General features: G+C 41.6%; 2 protein-coding genes across 25 annotated transcripts in view, besides 4 other annotated features; one reads left to right on the top strand and one right to left on the bottom strand.

Annotated features, from left to right (window-relative positions):
- The window catches only part of CATSPERE (catsper channel auxiliary subunit epsilon), a 189263-nt gene extending 173121 nt beyond the window's left edge, over positions 1-16142 (bottom strand). For 12 of the 21 annotated variants that reach the window (XR_001737095.2, XR_001737096.2, XR_001737099.2 and 9 more), the window contains exons 1-2: positions 15050-16142; positions 9815-9891 (exon numbers count right to left, since the gene is read on the bottom strand). Coding sequence is in view for 14 of the 21 variants with exons in the window: in XM_011544138.3 (XP_011542440.1) it covers positions 9815-9891; positions 15050-15107 (135 nt within the window). In the remaining 7 variants the exon portion in view is untranslated. Of the gene's footprint in view, positions 1-3427; positions 3477-4636; positions 4722-5889; positions 6112-9814; positions 9892-15049 lie in introns of those variants that run through there. The other 9 variants (NM_001130957.2, NM_173807.5, XM_017000945.3 and 6 more) reach the window with 5 other exon arrangements.
- Positions 5861-6210: a silencer, noted in NCBI's record as "silent region_2015". NCBI's record gives its function as "represses an Ori minimal core promoter by ATAC-STARR-seq in GM12878 lymphoblastoid cells {active_cell/tissue: GM12878}" and the evidence as "EXISTENCE:reporter gene assay evidence [ECO:0000049][PMID:35858748]".
- Positions 6485-7684: an enhancer, noted in NCBI's record as "BRD4-independent group 4 enhancer chr1:244623002-244624201 (GRCh37/hg19 assembly coordinates)". NCBI's record gives its function as "activates an origin of replication core promoter dependent on BRD2, P300/CBP, MED14 and CDK7 cofactors, and independent of BRD4, by STARR-seq in HCT116 cells {active_cell/tissue: HCT116}" and the evidence as "EXISTENCE:reporter gene assay evidence [ECO:0000049][PMID:35650434]".
- Positions 15086-15575: a silencer, noted in NCBI's record as "silent region_2014". NCBI's record gives its function as "represses an Ori minimal core promoter by ATAC-STARR-seq in GM12878 lymphoblastoid cells {active_cell/tissue: GM12878}" and the evidence as "EXISTENCE:reporter gene assay evidence [ECO:0000049][PMID:35858748]".
- ADSS2 (adenylosuccinate synthase 2) overlaps positions 15324-19962 on the top strand; it is a 43567-nt gene continuing 38928 nt past the window's right edge. The window contains exons 1-2 of one of the 4 annotated variants that reach the window (XM_047447581.1): positions 15475-15749; positions 16394-17394. In XM_047447581.1, coding sequence (XP_047303537.1) covers positions 17392-17394 — 3 coding nt within the window. In that variant the 5' untranslated portion in view covers positions 15475-15749; positions 16394-17391. Of the gene's footprint in view, positions 15750-16393; positions 17395-19962 lie in introns of all 4 variants that reach the window. The other 3 variants (XM_047447585.1, NM_001365073.2, NM_001126.5) reach the window with 3 other exon arrangements.
- Positions 16016-16295: a silencer, noted in NCBI's record as "silent region_2013". NCBI's record gives its function as "represses an Ori minimal core promoter by ATAC-STARR-seq in GM12878 lymphoblastoid cells {active_cell/tissue: GM12878}" and the evidence as "EXISTENCE:reporter gene assay evidence [ECO:0000049][PMID:35858748]".

Here is a 19962-nt window from a genome sequence, read left to right as displayed (position 1 = left end):
AATTTTTCATAAGTTTGCTGGTCATTTGTACATCCTTTTTTGTGAAATATCCCCTTAGGTCTTTTCCTCCTTTCTTTTTTATACTTTAGAAAAATTTAAACAATACTGAAATGATGTGCTTCTTAAAGATTTGGTAGAATTCCCACACAAAACCATCTGGGCCTGGTTCAAATTATAAATATTTATTTATTTATAAAGGGAGCACAACACTGATAGAAAACACAACAGAAATTGTTGAGTTATTTAGTAAAAATTAACTAAAGACTCCTGATTCTAATTTACGAGTGATACCACACAGTGCTAGGAATTGACTGTTGTGTATTGTATTCTCAGCCATGATCATTCATTCCTGCATAACTCTAGGCTATCCCTAGATTGCAGGAGCTGGAAACCAGGAACCCTCAAGGGTTCTGAACGACTGAAAATCAGATGTGGACTGGAACTTGTAAAAAAGAGGAAGCCATTCTTCTTCCTCAGGCAGTGGTACCAAAAGTCCAGGCTTCAAAGATAGGTGGTTTTGGGGAAGGCCTCTGTCCCATCTTTCCATTGAGCACCATCCCTCATTAGGTACTGGGAGAGACTTGTGACATGGGCACCTATTTCCTCCAGGTCCTGATCTCTGGTGGCAACAGCAACTTTTTGACTATTGATAAACCTAAAAATTAGTGGGGGTTTCTAAGACCCTTGCTTTCCTAGCCCTCCCAACAGTTTGGTGAGCACCTAATTTCCTGTAGCAAATAAATTTCTGCTTGAAATATCTAGAGTGGTTACTGCTGTCCTCTGACCCCTGACTGCTACACGCTCCCTTAAAGACAGGGATAATATGACAAGTGTTTAACAAGTTGTACAGCACAGACACTGACAGTTCCAAGCGAATACCAGGCAGCATGCTACCCAAGTGTGTACTGGCTGGATTCTGCCTGCCTTAGAGGGCATCTGGAAATATGGAAGAGTATCTCAGGTCACACAATCCCTGAGGATTGTCACTGCTACTTAGTGTTTGGGAACCAGGGAAGCAAGCTGTTCTGCAAAGCAAAGGATAGTTCCATACAATGAAAATTTTTCCTGCTCAAAATTTCAGTGGCATCCCCACTGAGATAACTGCTGTGGAGCAAACTCATGTATGAATATTGATAAAAGAATCTTATATAAAATATTAACAATAGTCCCTGAGAGCATATTGAACTACTACATTGGTACCGTGTGGGGTTTTCCCAAAATCCAAGGATGATACAATAAAAGTGAATATGTTAATATGATTCACTATGATAACAAGTCTGAGAAAACTCAAAAACTTTTTTCTGTAGACTGTGAAAAGGCATTTCACAATTCACTATAAGTATCACTTATAGCGACTATTTTTTACCATATTCAATAAATTAGGAACCAATGAATACTTAGTTAATTTAATGAAATGTATCTCTCTCTGCCCAAAAGGGAGCATCTGTTTAATTGGGAGATGTTGGAAGAAATCTACTAAAGTTAGGAAGAAGATAATGAGATCAACTCTGGAGGGCTACATCATTCTTCATGAATTGGAAGATTCAATATCATAATGATACCAGTTACTATGATAACAATGTCAGTTCTCCCCAAGTGCAATCCCAATCAAAATCTCAGCAGATTTTTGCTTGTGAAAACTAACAGCCTTATTCTAAAATTTATATAAAAACGCAAATAGCCAAAGTAGTCTTGTGGAAGAACAAACTAGATGTTCACAGGACCAGATCCGAAGACTCATTAGAAAGCTATAGCAGTTAAGAGAGTGTAGAATTGGCACCAGGACAAATAAGAAAGTTCACAAACAACTCATCTACATACGGAACAAAGGTGACATGAGAAAGGTAATAGGGGAACAGTGAGTTGTTTAATAGATTCTGGTTCATTATGTGAAAAAAGTAATGTGAATGCCTATTGTACTATATACAAGGCAGACTCTAGATGGATTTATGACCTATATTTTAAAGGTAAAAATATAAGAAATATAAACTAAAATTATAAAAACATTTCAGTTCAGGGTAAGCAAATATTTTTATTAAATAAGAGCCCTGGACAGGCGCGGTGGCTCAGGCCTGTAATCCCAGCACTTTGGGAGGCCGAGGCTGGTGGATCACGAGGTCAGGAGTTCAAGACCAGCCTGGCCAATATGGTGAAATCCCATCTCTACTACAAGTACAAAAATTAGCCGGGCATGGTAGTGTGCACCTGTAGTCCCAGCTACTCAGGAGGCTGAGGCAGAAGAATCGCTTGAACCCGGGAGGCAGAGGTTACAGTGAGCCAAGATTGCACCACTGCACTCCAGCCTGGGTGACAGAGTGAGACTCTGTCTCCAAAAAAAAAAAAAAGGAGCCTCCAAAAGTTTAAATCATAAGGCAAAGGAGGGGAGAGATTTGGCTCATCAAAATTCAGCTTTTTTTTTTTTCAGTAAAGTATCCATGAACAAAGTTAACAGAAACTTGAGATAACTGAATCTTTGAAACCAACATTTGATTAATTTTTACAACGCAATGTAGATAGCACTGTGTTAACGAGTAAGAAAAAGGCAGAAAATTAAATGAAAAATAGGCAAAGGGTATGAACAGGTAATAGAAGGAGAAGCCTACATAATATGCGAAGAGATGCTCAAAATCACTAGTCATCAAAGAAACTGAAAATAACAACAGCAATAGCTATCACTGGATAATAATGAGATTGGTAAAAAAAAAATAGGAAATTTAATAACACCAAATTTTGGTGAAGATGTACATTGAGTGAGAATATAAATTGTAACTGCCATTCGGGAAACAATCTTGCGGAACTTTGTTAAATTAAGTGTATTTCCCATGGCCAGGCAACTCTATTTGGCTACATATAGCAGGAAAATGATTGCACAGATACACAGATACATAAAAGGACCTATAGAGGACACTCATTCCAGTATTGTTTGTGATGGTAGGAAGCTATATGTCCAGCAATAGGGGTATATAAAATATAATTGATTTACACCAGTAATTAGGCAGATAAGAAGAAATGAAGTAGAAAGTGTTGAATAAGAAAAGTAATATAGAGAATGAGGTCTATAGTTTGGGTGACCATACATCCTGATTTGTCTAGACAGTTCTAATTTATACCTGTTGTATAATTATTAATAGCACTCCCATTCTCATGGGTTTAGGCAATATACTGAATGGTTATCCTACCTATATAATAACATCACATTGTGAACAGTGAATCACGAAAACACTCAAAACAACACTATTTTTGCTACATGCAAATTTAAGGACATGGATTAAGGAGGGGACCTATGTTAGGGTAATACACCGGATGAAAGAAACGAAACAGAAGAGTGACAATGACTGTAAAACTCAATATGATTAACTCTGCTCTCTGCTCTAAAGTTCAAAAAATTTAATATTTAACTATAGTTTATTAAAAATTCAACACTTACAGTACTTCTGGTACTAAAAATGCGATAGTTTGGGCTGTTAGTGGAATACCTGTGGAGGAAGAGGCCAAGTATAAATATTAAAACTAATTTATTCTTCAAATATGAGGATTCTCTACATGGTCAGGGCATAGCTGGGCTGCCAGGAGTGTCACCTTTCTGCCTCATTCCCTTCCTTGACAGCAACTCAGGGCTAAAATTGGGGCTATCAGTGACCTCTACCCACATCTCTAGATGTGTTAGGGTTTGCTCAGTATCTAAAGACAATAAAATGAGAAGTTAATACTCTTTACCTGGTTTTTTTTTTTTTTTTGTAAGATGAAAACTCTTGAAGAACACTGGCTCTAACTCCTTCACTTATAAAGAGTTAAAGTAAGAATAACAAAGATTGGAGTTTTAAAAACGCAGTATTTCTCTTTTTTTTTTGTTTTTGAGACAGGGTCTTGCTCTGGAGTACAGTGCAGTGATCTTGGCTTACTGCAGCCTTGACCTCCCAGGCTCAAGTGATCCTCTCGCCTCAGCCTCCCGAATAGCTGGGACTACAGGCGCATGCCACCACGCCCAGCTAATTTTTGTATTTTTTAGTAAAGACAGGGTTTTGCCATGTTGCTGCGATGGAGGGTTCTTAATTCCCGTCTATCTGATTCATCTAACAGAGCACTGTCCAATATAATACAAGCCACCTCCTATTAATTAAAAATGTTCAAGTAGCTACTTTAAAAGCACAAGAAGAAATGGGTGAAATTAATTTTAATAATTTTTAGCTTTTAATTAAAACTAAACAAATTAAACTTAAAATTAATTAATTTTAAGTTTTATTCAACATGTAATCAGTATAAAATAATTATTACTGAGATATCTTACATTCTTTTTTCAGACTAAGTCTTTGAAATCTGGTGTGTACATTACACTTACACCACATCTCAATTTGGGCTATATTTCAAATACTCAAAAGGCACATGTAGCTGGTGACTATCATAAATCACCACCCTACAATTCCTTCGCCTTCCATTTGCTTCAAGAATCTATTCCATGTCTACATTGCATACCTAATTGCAACTGGAATTGCTCCATCCCTAAAGCTTTAAATCAGAGGCCTTTTTTCTGTATGTAGAGGAAGAGTTGCTAGGATATCATTATGCAATTCCCTTATCAGAATTATACAAGCCTTAATAGCACTCTGAATTCTTATGTTTAACGGAAATCAGTCACCTTTATAATGAAACACATTTTCTGTATATACAGATCGAATTAAAAAAAAGTCATGTATTTTACATATACCTATAAATAAAAATGAAATCTATTGTCATCAAAGGCTTTTTTTGAAGTGTGAACCACCTCACACTTCTTATGAATCTAAGATCCCTTTCAATACAGAGAGAAAAATACAAGTGGCAAATTTTGTACTTTAATTTACAAAGTTAAATTATGTAATTTAATAAGATCTGGTAGTGAAAGGATGAAATGACCTTTCCTGGCAGGCCTTTTCTCCTCACCTGCTCCCTCAACAGCTTCTCACTCCTACTGGGGCTAAGGATAGGCTAGGGAGAGAACAGTAGCTCAAAGAGTCACGTTTAATTTATTAATTTAGTCCCAGATAACAACGATAATACCTTTTCATCCTTGCTTTATTAATTATGTCTTATATTTAATGTATTCTTGTTGGAAACAGATCTAAGAGGCCCATAGGTGTGTGGGGTGTGCAGATGGACATGTGCTATTTTTTAATGAAAAGGGCACTGTTATATCTCACTCTTGGACCACAACGATCCTCTCCTCTGGCAAAAGAAGGCTGCACAAGGTGAGAGGAATGTAAGAATTCACAGGGGCCGGGGCGCGATAGCTCATGGCTCAGAGCTCATAGTCTGTAATTACAGCACTTTGGGAGGCCCCGGCAGGAGGATCACTTAAGGCCAGGAGTTCGAGACCAGCCTGGGCAATATTGTGAGACCCTGTCTCTACCAATTTTTTTTTTTAATTTAGCCAAGCGTGGTGGCGCGTGCCTGTTGTCACAGCTATTTAGGAGGCCGAGGTGCGAGGAGCGCTTGGGCCCAGGAGTTTCAGGCTTCAGGGAGCTATGATGGCGCCACTGCATTGCAGCCTGGGCAACGGAGCAAGAGGCCGTCTCTAAAACAAACAGACAACCCCCGCCCTAAACAAACAAAAAAGTAAGATTTCATTGGGGCTCAGATGTTCTGAGGACAGCAGCATGAAGGTACTGCGACCTTACTGCAGGAGCTGGAGCAGGGTAGCAAAGTGCTAACTGCGTCCCCTCTCGCTCATGGAAAACTCTCGGGTGGGAGCGGTGGGACACTGGGGCTGGTGTTGGGGAGCCAGGAGACGAGGCAGTGGTCGGCCAGGGCGAGCGGTCCCGAGGCGCATGGGGTGGAGAGCAGGACCCTCCCGCCTGCCCCGCCGGGGGTAATCCCCGCCTAGTCGCTCGCCTGCGACTGGCGTCTCTCTACCTCCAAAGGGCGGAGCCATAGCAGCTCAGCCACAGCAGCAGCACGGCCACTTCCCGGGCTGACATGGCGCCTGCTCCGCCTCCGCCCAACCGCCTCGGCCACTCCCGTCCAGGCCTCGCGCATTCCCGTGGGACGTCGGCCCGGCGGGCGGCTGCAGGCGCCTGGGTCCCGGCGCCTCTGGACAGGGCGGGCCGGGCCTGAAGACCAGCGAGGGAGAAGTGTGCGCGTGCGCGTGCGCGCCGCTACCTGGGCTCCCTAGAGGCCTGAAAGTAGCCGGAGTGCGAACCTGCACACGAGATTTTAGGAAAGGCAGAACCAGGCTTTCCAGCAGTGAGATAGCAAAAACACTTCGAAAAATCTGAGTTGCCAATTAAAAGAAAAAAAGAAGGAAGGAAGGAGGAAGGAAAGAAAAAGAAAAATCCAATTTGCCAGAAAGAATGTGAAACTTTTAAGGTAGTGTGTCTTTTAGCCCAAATCTTCATGTGACTGCGTATAGACACTGCAATAGCAAATACATATCTGGCAGTGCTTTCCAGGGAGCAGGCACGCCATAAGTGATTTTTGTTGTTGTTTGTTTTTGAGAGAGTCACACTCTGTCCCCCAGGCTGGAGTGCAGTGGCGCGATCTGGCTCGGCTCACTGCAACCTCCGCCTCCGGCGTTCAAGCGATTCTCCTGCTTCAGCCTCCAGAGTAGCTGGGATTACAGGCGTGCGCCACAAGGCCCTGCTAATTTTTGTATTTTGAGTAGAGACGGGGTTTCACCATCTTGCCCAGGCTGGTCTCCAACTCCTGACCTCAAGTGATCCACCCGCCTCAGCCTCCCAAAGTGCTGGGATTACAGGCGTGAGCCACCAGACCTGGCCAGGCACAGCATAAATGATTTTTATTTAATTAATTTATTTATTTATTGCAGGAGACTGGAGTTTTATTATTACTCAAATCAGTCTCCCCAAGCAATTGGGGAGCACAGTTTTTAAGGATAACTTGGTGGGTTGGCGGAAGCCAGTGAGCCAGGAGTGCTGATTGGTCAGGGGTGAAATCATAGGGAGTAGAAGCTGTCTTCCTGTGCTGAGTCACTTCCTGGGTGGGGCCACAAGATCAGATGAGCCAGTTTACTGATCTGGGTGGTGCCAGCTGATCCATCAAGTGCAGGGTCTGTAAAATCTCTCGAGCACCGATCTTAGGAGCGGTTTAGGGCAAGTCAGAATCTTGTATCCTCCAGCTGCATGACTCCTAAACCTGATTTCAAATCTTGTGGTTAATGTTAGTCCTACAAAGGCAATCTAGTCTCCAGGCAAGAAGGAGGTCTGCTTTGGGAAAGGGTTGTTACCGTCTTTGTGTAAACTATAAACTAAGTTTCTCCCAAAGTTAGTTCAGCTTATGCCCAGGAATGAACAAGGACAGCTTTGAGGTTAGAAGCAAGATGCAATCCGTTCAGTTAGATCTCTTTCACTGTCTCAATCATAATTTTGCAAAGATGGTTTCAATCCTTCCCTTTGGGTAGGCTATGAAGATGGGAGAAGGCCGTTGATAGCTCTGGCTTCTTCCTGCTGACAGGGGAGGTAATGGGAATGGGAGTGAACCCCAAGGTGAGAAGAGTGGAATTGCTTTGCAACTGTCTGAGCAACTCATGCAGGCCTGGTTGAGTTTCCAAGAGTTGCATGGCAAACACATTAGTACTCTCATCTATAGTTTTACTACAGTGTTTAAGTGAACAGCCTGCTATAAGGTAAATAATGAGTCCTAGTTTGAGGAGTACAATTCCCAATTTTAAAAGTAAAGATTTGAAAGCATTAGTCTGGGGACTTCTAACCCACAAATAATTTAGTGTGTAGTCTAAACTGCACAAGAAAACCTCAAGACCAGCTAACAACTGTATACTATAGTTTTTCTTTTGAAGCATAATTTTTCTCTCTCCAGTCCCCATTTTTATTCAAAACAAACCATGATAGAACCGATTTGTTTACAAAATAAACTTTAGTCTTACTGTACTTGGCCTGATTATTTGCATAAAGTGCAGCAAGAATAATTATTTTTCACTTAGGCTTTTTTCATTGGCTCTGATAGAACTCTGTTCCATGAAGGATCTCAGCTAAGACTTTTTAAAAGCCAAGCCCAGGCTGGGCGCGGTGGCTCATGCCTGTAATCCCAGCACTCTGGGAGACTGAAGTGGGTGGATCACAAGGTCAGGAGATCAAGCCTGTCCTGGCCAACAAGGTGAAACCCCATCTTTACTAAAAATACAAAAATTAGCTGGGCATGGTGATGCATGCCTGTAATCCCAGCTACTCAGGAGGCTGAGGCAGGAGAATTGTTTGAACCTGGGAGGCGGAGGTTGCAGTGAGCCGAGACTGAGCCACCGAACTCCAGCCTGGCGACAGAACTAGACTCTGTCTCAAAAAAAAAAAAAAAAAGCTGAGCCCAGCCTCAAATACCTATGAGTTGGTATTTGAAAATTCCTTTCCTCTTGAAGTCCCAAGATAACTTGGAGTTCCTGGGCCTGTTAAAAAGTGACATTCTTTACTTACCACAGGTCAGGAACCTTGCACAGACACTCTGTGTGGACAAGGTATGAGGCCAGATTCCCCAATGGGCTTTAATTGGCTCTATAAGTGAACTTTGATTCTTTAAAGGAAGCATGCCATTCCAGTCAAAGCCTTGGTAAAATAACCAATTTCTCCAATTGTGTTCTGTTACAAAAGAAAACAGATTCTTACTGCACTTATGCAATTAACTATACTGCCATAAATTGAGAATATTCACAAATAGTTTCCAAATTCTGGAGAAATCAGGTAGAGAGGAACAAATATGCTCTAAATTTTGTTCACAGGAGTATATTTTACTCACTTGTTAGAAGCTGCAAATAGCTCTAAAGAAATAAGTTCTCTCGACTCTGAAAACAAAAGGTTTAGCAATGTTTAACACATTAGCTCTCCATGAGAGTCCTAGAAGTTTGTTTTTTTTTCCTCCATTCCAATAGCACAATTTTTAAAGTTATCTGAGACCTGCACTCAGAGTCCTATATCTGACATATAAACTGCCTTTTGAAAAGGACCAAAGCAAGACAAAATGTCTGTGGATGGCAAAAGCCTACACCCACTATTAAAGCTACAATTGACTAGGAATTTTGGTTACTTCTGTGGCATACAACAATTTTACATAACCATTATAATAATTAATAATGTACACTAAATTATAACATTATAGAAATTTCCCATAATTTTGGAACACATACCAATAACATATTTATACAAATACAGTCCCAAAGAAAACCAAACGCCATTCCCTCTTCTATTTGAAAGGTTTTTTCTATTCTAATGTCACAGTCTCCCAGAGTTATTAATCAGAAACCTGCATTTAAGAGCACCTGTTAAATTTTCTAGCCAATTATAAAATCATCTTTTAAAGAGGACCAAAGTGAGACAACAGTTGTCTGTGGATGACAAAAACATTTTAGGGCAGCCACTGTTAAAGGCACAATTGACAAAGACATTTACCTCTGTGGCACACAGTCATTTAACATAATAATTATAATTATTACTGATAACATATCCTAAGTCATATTAGAATTATAGCAGTTTTACATAATTTTGGAACATATACCAATAACACATTTACACAAATATAGACCAAAGAAAGCTGAACACCATTTTATATTTGACAATGCTTCCTGTATGATTTTTGTACCAAATAAGCCAAATGTCATTTTTGGACTTTAGAGGACTTAATATCTAAAATACTAAGTTAGAAAGAGACATAATTTATAATTTGATTTTGGAAAGTCTGTCAAATATCAAAGGTTTAAAACACTGGATATCACAAAATAGAATCCCAGGTCACCATAAGTCATTCATTTGGCCAAAATGATAACTCCAAAACAATTTAAAGAAAAAGAAAAACCTTTACTGTGATACAGATGACTTACCTTTCCAAAGAAGATCCAATGAAGATAGCATGAGGCCAACTGAATCTGTCTCTTCTCTCTCTCCTCCTTTTTTTCCCCTGCCATTTATCCAAAGGAAAAAACAAAACCCTTTCATTATCTTTTAACATTACATAAAAATCATCTTCAAAAGAGAAAACCAAATTTCATGTGCATCTTTAATGCTAAAGCTAGTTTTTTAAATAAAGTTTTATATATCCAGTTTTAATTACTTTGACCATAAGGTAAGATTTTCATAAACTTTATAGAACCCTTTACAATTTTCCATCAAACAGCAGATCAGTTTTCTAAGAAAACCCTGTGATTTGGACACAGGGGCCCAGATTTTGGACACAGGGGCCCAGATTCTGGCCCCACATCAGTACGATTTTAATGTTTTAACCTACAGAAAAAAGCTAAATAATTTCTTTCAGCTCTTAGCCAACTGGTTTATACCCACAGAATTTTTTTTAGATTCACCCTTTACAAACCTTTTTCACTTTGCTTAAACCTTCAGTTTTGTTCCGTTACTGTTTTAGGGTAAGACAATCTTTAAAAGCCTCTGAACTAGACAAAATTACATTCCCTTTAACAAAAGCCATATTCCTATGCCTTCTTACAATCTTTTACCAAAAAACACCTTCCTTACACACCTTGTATGTAAAACTGTTTCTCCAGTAATCTCAATTTCATGTTACAGTGTTAATTCTTAGCAACTTTCATTTTAGTGAAAAACCGGATAAGTAAGTGAGTTAATACTAGGGATGGAGCCTAGGACACCAGACAGAAGTGAAGATAAGGCCTGACTGTTTTCAGCATAACTAGGGGCATGGCTGTCCATGTGTCCCCAGGCCTTATCTATAGCCTAATGCTCCAAAGTAGGTAAATCAAATGATTTTCAAAAGTCAAAGGAACAGTTTGACTTTAAAGCATTTAGCAAATCTGATATCTGATCTTAATTTAGACCAAATGTCTGTATTTTCATGACATTTTATTTTACCAAAAATCTTTAAAACTGTCTTTATTTCCAAAAGATTACTAAAGTCATGTGAATAAAAAGGCATTAAAATTTCTATTTTTCTGACAAAATATGTGATGTAAGCGCTCATTTTTCTAAGGCAATTAATCAGAGCTCTTTTATATATAAACATCACACACCAGAGAGAAGATTCAGCACCTGTAAGATTTTTTGTTTGCCAGTTTCTTAATTGGATTACTGGCTTCAGGGTGGAGCCCCTGGAGGAACAGGGCTAGGAAAGCTTGTGTTTCTAGGGCCAAACAAGCAGCTGAAGGCAAAGACGGATTCTTAAAATTAAGGGTGCCGCTTTACACTGGATCCTGGATCCCAAGAGGACGGAAATACTTCGAGAGAAGACAGTGCAGTGCTTTTACCAACTATGCATTTCACTGCAACGCAACCCAAAGCCAATCAGTCCATTTGTAATTAGACCATCCCCCATGGGATTCTCATCTCTCTGTTGGGGGGCGGGGGGGTGTTTCCATGTCTTCCAGGTGGCCAAAGCATGCTTCTCTGATCCAAGTGTGCGAAGAGCCAAGTATGCCTCCGTAACTACTATTAGCCAACTCCTAAAGTATATTTCCTACCTAGTTGTTATACACCAAAGCTCTCTCAGAATGAGAAGTAATTTCTGATGCCCCTAAAACTCAAAACCGTCAGATAACACAATGCAAAACAGAATAGAGCCTTGGATTTTGAGAGGGATCTGTCTGCTTTTAATTCTTGGGGTTTCATGAGGAAAACAGAGCTTTTTTCCAAAACGGGGTCTGTGGTGCCTCCTGTTTTTCCCAAGGAGTCCCAGGCTACCAGAAGCTATCTCAGGGCCTCTCATGTGTACATTAAGATAGGCAAAACAAAAAAGTGGAGGAAAATAATTCAGTTGACTGAGAAGGAAAAAAAGACCTTTTTCCAGAAAAATAATCTTTTTCCAGAAAAACAAGATCCAAGAAGAGAGAAACATAAAGGCCTTTTAAATATACCTACAGCTTGTTTATCCACTTTTAATTAAGCTGACTTTTAACCATAGCGCTCTTTAAAAAAAAAAAAAAACCCTTAAAAATTTTATACCCAACTTTAGCCACGCCAAGCGGCCAATATTTTTGGCTTTTGAATTCTACCACAGGTAACTTCCCACCTGAAATTAAGTTTTAACTAAGTTTATAACCATGGACACACAGGTGTCTCAAAGAGATGGTAAGCAGTTTTTTTTTCTACAAGATGTAGAATCTCCCCCAGGGTAGTTTAGAGAAAGGAAAATTCAAGACAGGAAATCAGAAGCTATTCATGGGAGCGGGGGGACGCGGGAACCTCAATAAATGGCAAAGTTACAGAAATAAAAAACCAGAAGGGAATCATTCCAGAAGCCAGGAATAGAACCCAGACCCCCCACTGTCAAGAGGCAAAACCTTAGCTACTGAGTTACACAGTATTGAGCAGTTTCTATTGTGCTTCCCAGAAGGAGCCTACAGAAGCCAGTTTCAAGCTTGCAAAGGCTTTTAACTGCTCAAGAAAATTCTTAGGGCTAACCTAAAAATCCCCAAATTCCTGTCTTCTAGATGGTGGAAACCAAGAGAAAGTATCTCCACATGGTCACAAAGTTAAGCTCTTCAGGACACAAAACAAGACAGAGAAATTTCATACAGTATTGGCTTCAGGGACCTGTAGCAAAGTTTGTAACTGACCAGCCTGCCAAGCCGGCTTGAAAAGCAGGCTTATAGGGGTCCTAAACCCACGTTCTATCCTGTGACACCCATCTATCCACTACAGAACACAGAAAGACAAATTCTTAGCACAAAACTACACCAGATTTGCTACAGCCTAAGACTAGTCTCACAAATCCTTTTTTCCATTTATCAAACCCTTGCAGAGGAGGTAAACAGTTTACTATTTACTGAGAAAGAGAGAGAGAGACCACAAACCGGTCCGGTAAGAATTTCATACCCTCTGTGCCGGCATACCAGATTTCCGGGTTCCCTTTCTCTGCAGTTTCCAGAAGAATGGAGTGGCTTTTGATGACCCTGCTTGCTTGTGCTATAGCTGTGGGGTTCAAGCCACTTTACAAGAGAAAATCACCCTTTACTGTTTTATGGAAACATAGACGAGATTCTTAATTTGCAAGATGCTGCCCAGCGGGCTGCATGGGGAACCGAATTAACATTTTCCATCCCAGCAAAACACACATAACAAAACACACATTAGCCACCTCGTTCAGCTCCCAATATCAGCCTGGCAAAGCTCAAAAACTTTTTCTCTTTGGTCCCTGTTGTCTTTGATCCACTCCAGGTGGGGAGGGATGACCTCCGAACGGTAATTCACAATGGGGTCTCTGGGCAAGACGAAGAGCAGATAGTCACCCCGAGACAGGCCTGTTGAGCCTTCTGTAGGGCTCATCAAATGTGACCAGACAAATAAGGAGGGTTTTGAGTTAGGTCTGCTGGACTTCCATCAGCAACCTCTTCTGAGATCCCTTCCACATATACAAACGCACACAAAGACGAGAGGACAGAAGGCGTTCCCAATCAGATCCCTAACCAAGAACTCCGGGAGTATCCCTTCCAAACTATCCTCCTATTCTCCTTCTGAGAAACCTCCTTGAAATCTTCCTGATTCAGGAGAAGTCTCCCAAACCTGGACTCTTCCTACTAGTTAGAAAGAGCCAAATGAGACCCCCCCAGGAGCCGAACAGACACCCTGCAATGGGGCTACAGACACCTCACCATAGGGCTACAGAACCAGTTGGGAGAAAGGAGGCGTTGGCAGCACCTAGGATACTCACCAATCCAGACACCCTGCCCTGCAATGGGGCTACAGACAGACACCCTGTGATAGGGTTACAGTTAAGGGACGTCTCCCCGGGGCTATTTCTCCATTGCAATTAAATCCATGCACACTGGGTTGGCAGCACCCCACCAGTAGAGAGAGTACCAGAGTCAGCCCCCAGTCCAAGAGAACTGGGTGGCCGCTTGGGCAGGCTTCTGGATCCATTGCTGGAGGGGGGCCACTGAACCACGAGTAGGTAGCCACAAAGGCAATGCCAGACAAGCCCCCAAATTTGTAACCGCCCAAGGGGTTCACCTTGTCCACTGCCTAGACAGAGCCAATTCATCAAGACAGGCAAATGGCAATAGAGAAAGAGTAATTCATGTAGAGCTGGCTGTGCAGGAAACCAGAGTTTTATTATTACTCAAATCAGTCTCCCATAAATGATTTTAAAAAATTGAATGGAAATGACTAGTAAGGTGTGCTTATTCAGTATCTACTATCTGCCCAACACTACCTCGGGCATTTGACTAGAAAGAAATAGATGGCATTCTTGTTTCCAAAATGTTTGTGATCTTGTAATAAGGCCAAGATAGACAACAATTATCACATAGTATTATAATTGTTTACTAATCAATAGACCAAATAATTTGAATCCTTGAGGGCTGAATTGTATCTTTATTTCTCCTATGTTATCAGTGCCCAGGACACTTAGTTAGTTAATAGCAGGTTCTCAATGTTCCTGACTTAACTCATTGACTAGAAATAAAATACTAAAGTGTACTCTAGGGACCATTAGTGAACATACAGTATGTACAGGCGATTTGGGAGACGGTACATATAATGTGATTCCATTCCCACTTTTTTTCGAAGCACCTTTTATCAGAATTAAACATCATAGTTAATTTGTGTTGGTGTCGAAAGGGCATTAGATGAACAGTAGGTATACACCAGAATCTAGTTACAAATGTAACTGAGAGACAGTGGAATCTACAGGAAGGACATGGGCTCTGGACTTAGATTATCGAAGTACCAATTCAAGCCTCACTAGGGCAAGTTACCCAGCTTTTAAATCCTGTAAAATAAGGATAATAGAGGATCACCTACCTTATATGGTTGTGGGGATTAAAAAATAAAGAAGTGCATGACGGTATCTGCATATATGTACTATATGCGACATAGGTAATCCACTCCTCCTCTCTGAGCCTTTGTTACTACTATGTAAAATGAGGATTAGGACTTTATTTGATCTATTGATTTCAGGTCTCATGTCCTTTATCTTATTGCCTTACTTTTGAATTTTGTCTTTTTTGATCCCTGTCCCCATCTCTGTTACTTCCGGACTTTTAATTTCCAATTCTACACTTACACGTTCCGATTTTATGCTGTTTGTACTGCGAAATTCCACAGTTTGTATTTTGTACACATTCATTCCTTAATAAAGACAAATCCAGACAAACCTGCAGATGGCAGACACAGTGGCCCCAGAATACACCGCCGCAGCCCAGAGCGTTGCATGCTGGGATTTGTAGTCCGACGCTCCACACGCGCTTCCGCGCCTCTCCAGTTTGAAAGCGAGAGGTAGAGCGGGTAGGCGGGGTGCTGAAGGAGAAGCGCTCTCGAAGCCCCGCCCCTGACCTTTTCCGCTCGCGAGGTTTGCACGGGAGTGGCGCGCCAGGCCGCGGAAGGGGCGTGGCCTCGGTCCGGGGTGGCGGCCGTTGCCGCCACCAGGGCCTCTTCCTGCGGGCGGTGCTGCCGAGGCCGGCCTGCGCGGGGCAGTCATGGTACCCCCTTGAGCGGGCTGTGGCGGAGAGCGGGGCGGGGACTGGCTGGAGGGTGGCGGCCCGGCGGGGCGGGGGCGGGGCCGGCCTCTGGCTCCTTCTTCCTCTGCATGTGGCTGGCGGCCGCAGAGCAGTTCAGTTCGCTCACTCCTCGCCGGCCGCCTCTCCTTCGGGCTCTCCTCGCGTCACTGGAGCCATGGCGTTCGCCGAGACCTACCCGGCGGCATCCTCCCTGCCCAACGGCGATTGCGGCCGCCCCAGGGCGCGGCCCGGAGGAAACCGGGTGACGGTGGTGCTCGGTGCGCAGTGGGGCGACGAAGGCAAAGGGAAGGTGGTGGACCTGCTGGCGCAGGACGCCGACATCGTGTGCCGCTGCCAGGTGAGGCGACGGGGCCTCTCATGGGAAGCCGGGCCCGGGAGCTCGGGCTGCCTGGCTCCTGGTGCCCGGGAACTCGGACCCAGAACCCGGATCCACTGGCCAAAATGAGGTGTCACCTTGAGGCTCTCTCCTCCTGTCCTGAGCTGCGGCTACGTGGAGAAATGGCGGGAGGTCGGGGACCCCTGACCTGGAGCGTCGGGTGAAACTTGGGGTGGCCCTGGAGGAAGAGGTGGGCTGGCGGGGAGCCTTTGAGAGATGCGCGATGCCTGGCAGTTGCAGTTTTGCGTCTGGCGAGTGGTGCTCAGCGCCGGGACTGAGGCCGGGGTGGAGGTGGGATGCGGTCCGAGTTTGAGGAGCTACCGCCCGAGGCCTGCTCCCAACTCTTCCGACTGCGGGCGGAGACCCGGCGCGACGGCAGAACCCCCCATCACCGCCCCCCCGCCCCGCCCAGGGCGGCGGAGTGGGAGTGGATTGTTTCGAAACGTCCTGAAATCAGACTCACCGATCCCCCATCTGCAGGACCGTGGCATGCAGTGCTTTGCTTCCTCTGGTCCACTTTGTTGACATCCAAACCCACCCACCTCTGGGCTTTGGACTGTTGTTTTAGGGCCCTGAGTTTCTTGTTTTTGTTTTTGTTTTTACAGTGTGCTCCATACATGAAAGTTAAGGAGAAATTACTTTTACTAGTTGGTCCCAGAGGAAGGAATCCCTTCTCTGTTCAAAAAAAGTGAGGGAAGTAAATACATGGATGTCAAATTGAGTATTTGGAAATAAATATTTGCATTGTTAAGGTGACATCGAAAGTGAACTTTCGGAAAACGAGGTGGTAATGTACTTCTAACGGGAGACACGTGGTTTTCAGTGTAACCTTTCTTCCTATTTGTCGTTTCCTTTGACGCAGCATACAGGGTAAGGCCTTTGTAAAGGCTCTCAGATAACTCTCTCCAGTTTCAAAATTCTAAGCAGATGAGCAATAACCACTTTCAAAACAAAGCATAATGTAATATTTGAAGTTAACTGCTATCTGTTTAGGTTGCAAGAATATTTGTTTTTGAACATGCATGGCATGATATGATGGTGCCATGCTGTATATGTTCTAGTAAGTTATAGGCCCCCTTGAATACCATTTTGAGCATGCAGAAACAATGAAATCACAGGTATGTTAAAAAGCTAAATGCAAATACTGCAAATATTCTCTGATTTACCTTGTTTCGTTTTGTTTTGTTTTCATTTAGAAATCCACCCTGCCCATTCTGAAATAGCTGTTGCACTAATTGCCTCTTAGGAAACTGTCACTACCACCTCTCCCTCCTTCCCTTCCAGCCTATTATTTCTCCACCCCTCTGGCAACACACTTTGTACCTTAGCAATCTTCAGGGTGTTGCCATTAAATTCCTGCCCCGCACTTTCTTAGGAAATACTCCAGAAATCCAGCCTTTACCTACCTTTTGTCTTACATTCAGATCTGGTCATGCTGTGGGGAAGACGTATCCGAATACCGAGCTTTCTTGCTGTCGACAGCGGGAGAGAGGCTGAGGCCTGTGTGTCTCCTTCACTGACATCTTGACATCTCGTTAATATGGAAATAGCTCAGGTTGAGCTACACTATGGGTTGTAAGAAGGTTTGGAGAACACAACCATTATGGTATTTATTCTAAAGGATCCTCAATTTTAATATTCTATGGAGAAATATTAGAAGTAGTTTGTAGCTTGGAGAAGGTGTTACTAATGTTACCGAGAAAGTAGTCTTGAAGTCATGGACCAACCTGATCTGATGCCCTTGGAAAGGCTAGAGAAGTGATTGAGAAGGAACTAAGTTTGGCTTTAAAATGTTAGCTGAAGATAGTGGAGAAACAAATGAGGGGCCTTGTTGGGCAGACTTCCCTCACCTGTGTATTTTTGACTTAACTACCTTCCTTATAGAATCCTTATGTTCTTTTAGTGCTTTTTAAAAGTGTATCATTAGGATTCTTTATTAGTCTTGTTAGCAAAAAATAGATGAGTAATGAATAGATTTAAGCATTATCTCTTTTGTGATTTACCTTGGTAACTTTGTATTATTTGGTTAGCCCTAGTAAGCTGGCATCTACTTAATGAAGTTCCCCTAGGTTATAAAATTGGAATGTTGAAGTTCTTAGTGAGTGTGTATAGAGAGCTGGAAAAAATCAACAGTAAGACATTGTGAGCTTGGATTGCCTTGTTTGATGTCTTAAGTTTTGTGTGTTAGTGAAAATATGTCCTTTGTTAGAGTTTAATATATTCTGCCATATTTATGTCATGAGTTCAAATTTTATTCAGTACTGTTTCTCCAGAAGTGATGTACACATAATGTATCCGTATTTCACCAGTAGACTCATAAGGACTTTCTCCCAACATAAAATATAGTTTTAAAAAGAAAAACTGGCATTGCATTTAATGATAAATTTTAATGTATAAAATGCCTTTTTGGAAACAATAGATGCAAACCTAGTGGCGTTTTCACTCTTAACAGCGCTTAAGGCCTGTGTTGTTCAGATTCAGGATTTATGGGGAGTTATTTATAACTTGGTAGGTTCCCCAGATCCATAAATATGTAGGACTTGCATCAAAGGACAACCACTACTGCTGCCTTAATTTTAAATCAATATTTATTTTAAGAAGAAGAGAGAAGAATTAAATAGAGGCCCAACCCTGGGTACAGGTCATTCATCTAGTAAACATTGAGTATCTGCAGGGGATCACTTAGCCTGGGAGTCAAAAATCTGAAAAAGGCAGGGATTGTGCCCACAAGGAGCTCACAATCTGGGGGACAACTGCTGTGTAAGCAAAAGTGTTGAGAAGGTCGGGATGGAGAAAGGTACTAGTCTAATACGTTTCTCAAGAGGTTAAAGTATGGGACCAAGAAAGTCCCTTTCTGGCATCACAAAAGGAAGCCTAATACTGTTTTTTCCCCAGTTCTCTCAAAGTAAAATACTGTGCTTTGTTTTCTGTATTTTGCTGAGTAGAAGCTACAGAAACTTCTTAACTATAGTAGTTTATACCAGGCTTTAAGCAAAGGCTTACTTATTTATTGTTCTTGAGGAAAGTAACTTCGGTGGTCTTGGTTATAATGACACACATGAAGTTGCCTGTGATCGGGAAAGGCTAGAGCAGTGTTCCGTGTGTATTCTCTCCAAGGCTTCAAAGTCAATAAAAAGAGAAAATACTAAAGTTAGTCATAAGGGAAAGCACACCCCATCACTTGATATATGTTTATAAAAGCTTGCTATAAAAATAAACATACTGAAAAAATATTACTATTTTCTAGCTAGATACAAGTATCTGCTGAAGATCTGAAACCACTATTAGTGTTAAAGAAGCATAAAAGACATATCAGCAGCAAACTAAAACTTTCTCCTTGAAATAGAAAAGGTGAAAGATAATTTAAAAGAAAATAACGTTAGTATTATTTAATGCCTTGACCTTGTACAGCTAAAATGATCTGCCAGACTACTTCCCATAATTTTAAGGATAGTAGGTAATTAGCATTTAAGGTAAGCCATTCTTCCAGGTTTATAACAATTGCTATTTCCATTTTTCTGATTCTTTTTATATCATTTATAGCATTTCCCTAGTATATAAGTATTTACCAATGTCTGTTATACTATACTTGGTTAAATCTTGTTCTGTTTGGTTACTGTGCTTTCTCTACTATAATGTAAATTTTCTCAAAAGGGAGACTTCTTCCTTTTCTTATTCTGTAGCACCTAATACTATATGAAGCAGAAGGGAAATACTCAACCAATGTATTCTGGGTGGCAAGATCACCCCTGGAAATTTATTTGAAATAAATAATAGTAACCCTTTCTTGTAATTGTTTTAACATCTCTCTGGACAATTTAATTGACTGGTGGCATACATTTAAGGCGGAATTCCTAGCATTCCTTGGATTAACATTTGTTATTTAGTTTTTCAGCTGGAATTTTTTACATTGTACCATTCAAAGTCTTTGTTTATATTAAAATCTTATCTCTTGTTTTTAGGAGAAAATAGGTAACTGATATTTATATCTTTTTCATGTATCTCCTCAACATATTTCGACTGAATACCATGTGGGGTTCTAGTAACTAGTTATTCCCCGCTGAGGACAGTAAATCTCAATGTTCGGTCAATGAGGATGTCCTATTGCAGTTAGTAAATATAGTATCCTGTCAGCTCTACTTTTGAGGCATGAGTTTTTAAACGTGTATGAGAC

This window comes from Homo sapiens, chromosome 1, assembly GCF_000001405.40.
Source record: "Homo sapiens chromosome 1, GRCh38.p14 Primary Assembly".
Lineage (NCBI taxonomy): Eukaryota > Metazoa > Chordata > Mammalia > Primates > Hominidae > Homo > Homo sapiens.
The sequence above is the reverse complement of the archived record's forward strand: the minus strand, read 5'-3'. Positions and strand labels throughout refer to the sequence as shown.